The sequence below is a fragment of the Homo sapiens genome, chromosome 3, assembly GCF_000001405.40.
Source record: "Homo sapiens chromosome 3, GRCh38.p14 Primary Assembly".
Lineage (NCBI taxonomy): Eukaryota > Metazoa > Chordata > Mammalia > Primates > Hominidae > Homo > Homo sapiens.
This window is the reverse complement of record NC_000003.12, coordinates 180,307,151-180,309,589: the sequence shown is the minus strand read 5'-3', so window position 1 is coordinate 180,309,589 and position 2,439 is coordinate 180,307,151.

The window sequence follows — 2,439 nt, the reverse complement described above, 5'->3', positions numbered from 1 at the left end:
GATGGATTCATAATCCAAACAAGGCCAATCAGAACCTTCCCTGTTAATGTGTGTGATACAGGGACATTGGGAGAAAGTATGACTCTGTTCTTCTCAAATCAATAGCTACCATAAACTAGAACTGCTGACAGCCATCTTCTACGGCTACATGGAAGTGACTATCTAAAGGAAGATAAAATTAAGCCAAAACACAGGAAAAAGAGAGGTGAGAGCCAGAGAGATAAAAATAAACCCTGGACCAAACTGTTGACACTCTATTTATACTGGGCACTACAATTCCTTTTTTTTTTTCTTGTACTTAAGATATAAATTATTATTCTGTCATTTTCAATACAAAGGGTCTTTACTAATACACCTCAAAGCAGCAAGAAACTGCTGCAGAAGAAGATAAAAGTAAGGCAGTAGAAGATAAAAGTAAAACAAAAACCTTGATGATCAGTACAATTATTCCTAATTAAATATTCATATTCCAGAACAACTTTTAATTTTATTAACATACATCCTCATATAACTATGAAAGAATTCACCCACAAATATCCAAACTCTCAAATATCCATTCTTTTCATCAACAGTTCCAAGTTATAAAAAATGTATTTATAGGTAGTGACTCTGATATTAGAAGAAAAAGAAAACTTGGCTATGCTCTTTATCCTCTAAATTTGGTATTTCCTATCCCAAATTTACAAACAGAATAAATGGATCTCTCCTCTTTCTTTCCATTGATTCCCAAATAGCCCACTCCTTCAGATGTGTATCCTATTCAATATCCTAAAATTCTCAGCAGTCTTTGGATTCAAAGTTCAAAACAAAGTGAAACTGAAAATTCTCAAGAGGGGACAATAATGTGATGGAAAGGAAGAAATGTTACTGTTATTCCTGCCATGGATAAAAGTAGAGCCTACTCTCTTACATTCATGTAAAATGGTTTTTGTTTCTGTCTTCTCTATTATAGCCTGAATTATATATTAGTCAAGAACTAATATATTCAAAGTCTTGGTGACCAATATTATTCTAGGATTAGAGGATCACCCACCTTCTAAAAGTCTTTCTTCTTGTCCGTTTTTTCTTTAGAATACTTCCAATTAATGCTTAATGTGTGTTCTCAGAGACTGTCTTCTCAGCTGCAAGATGATGGACACTGCTTACTTCCTCTCTTGCTTGCTACTTACCTCCCACCCCAATGACATGTGGCAATAGCAGGTCCTTTTCATTATCTACTGACTCCAATCTTTTCTTTTTCCCTTGTTAACAAAATTCTGACCTTGTTCAGAATGGCAATGTTCTCACATTCACAGGGATGAGCAGTTGATTGGTCAATGCCAGTTATGGCAGACTTGTTTCCAGCTGTCTTAGCTCTTCAATACCCAAATGTGGTCATGTGACCCAAATGTCAATTGACTCTGAAGTGGTTCTGGGAAGGCTTCTGATGCTGATGGAAAGAGATACACTCTGTTATGAGCCCTCCCATTTCTTACTTCTTCCTAGCTTCGACATGAATTTGGAATATAAACAGCAGCTGCCATAGTGCTATATGAGCTATGGACATGAGGATGAAAGCCAAAATGCTAAAAACTGCAGAACACAAAGGTGGAAAATCTGGGTCTGTGATGTTGTTGAGTAGTTAACTAGTGTAGAAGCTAGCTGGCTCCATATTTCTTGGCATGTAACGAAAATACACTATTTTTCATTTAAGGTGCTGTTATCAAGTCTCATTTGTAGCCACACACCCAGTAATAATGTCCACATATGCTATTTAGGACTTCTCTGCCTAGAAAACCGAGAGGATGCCTCACTACCTCATGTTGGATGTCGTCCTCTCTGCAGGTCACTGATACCAGCTGGGCTTAGGCTTCTGTGTCCCCTGGGCACCATTTTCTCCTCTGAGCCTACCTGTTACCACCACTAGACATCAATTATTTATATGACAGCCTGGATGGTACTCTTTATTTTTCATGTTGGTTAAAGCAGAGAGCACACACAGCAATAAAGACCGGTCCCCAGAGTGAATATTCTCAAGGTGCAAGATGAATTTGGACTGGAATCAGAGAACAAAAGTGAGTCAGGTTTGCACAGCAGTGATTCCCATAAAAACGGAGATCCAGTTGACAGAAATAGTTCAGGACTAAACTGAGACGTACTAATACATTGTTCCCCTTCAAACCAAAAATATTTAACTATCTATTCAACAGTAGAGACAACGGGAGAAACTGATTTCCTGTTAATAACATCATACACTAAAAGAGGTAACATGCTAAATGCACTTCTACCAACTTAGGCAGATTCAGTCTTCTGAAGATGAAAAATAAGAAAAATATTTCTGTCTTCTGTTTTTGTCATCGTTGTTGTTGTTGGTTTTGGTTTTTGTCAATTTTCTGAACCAGAAAACTTTCTGTGAACTCCACTAAAAGGTTGAACAGTTGGATAATAAACTATGTATTC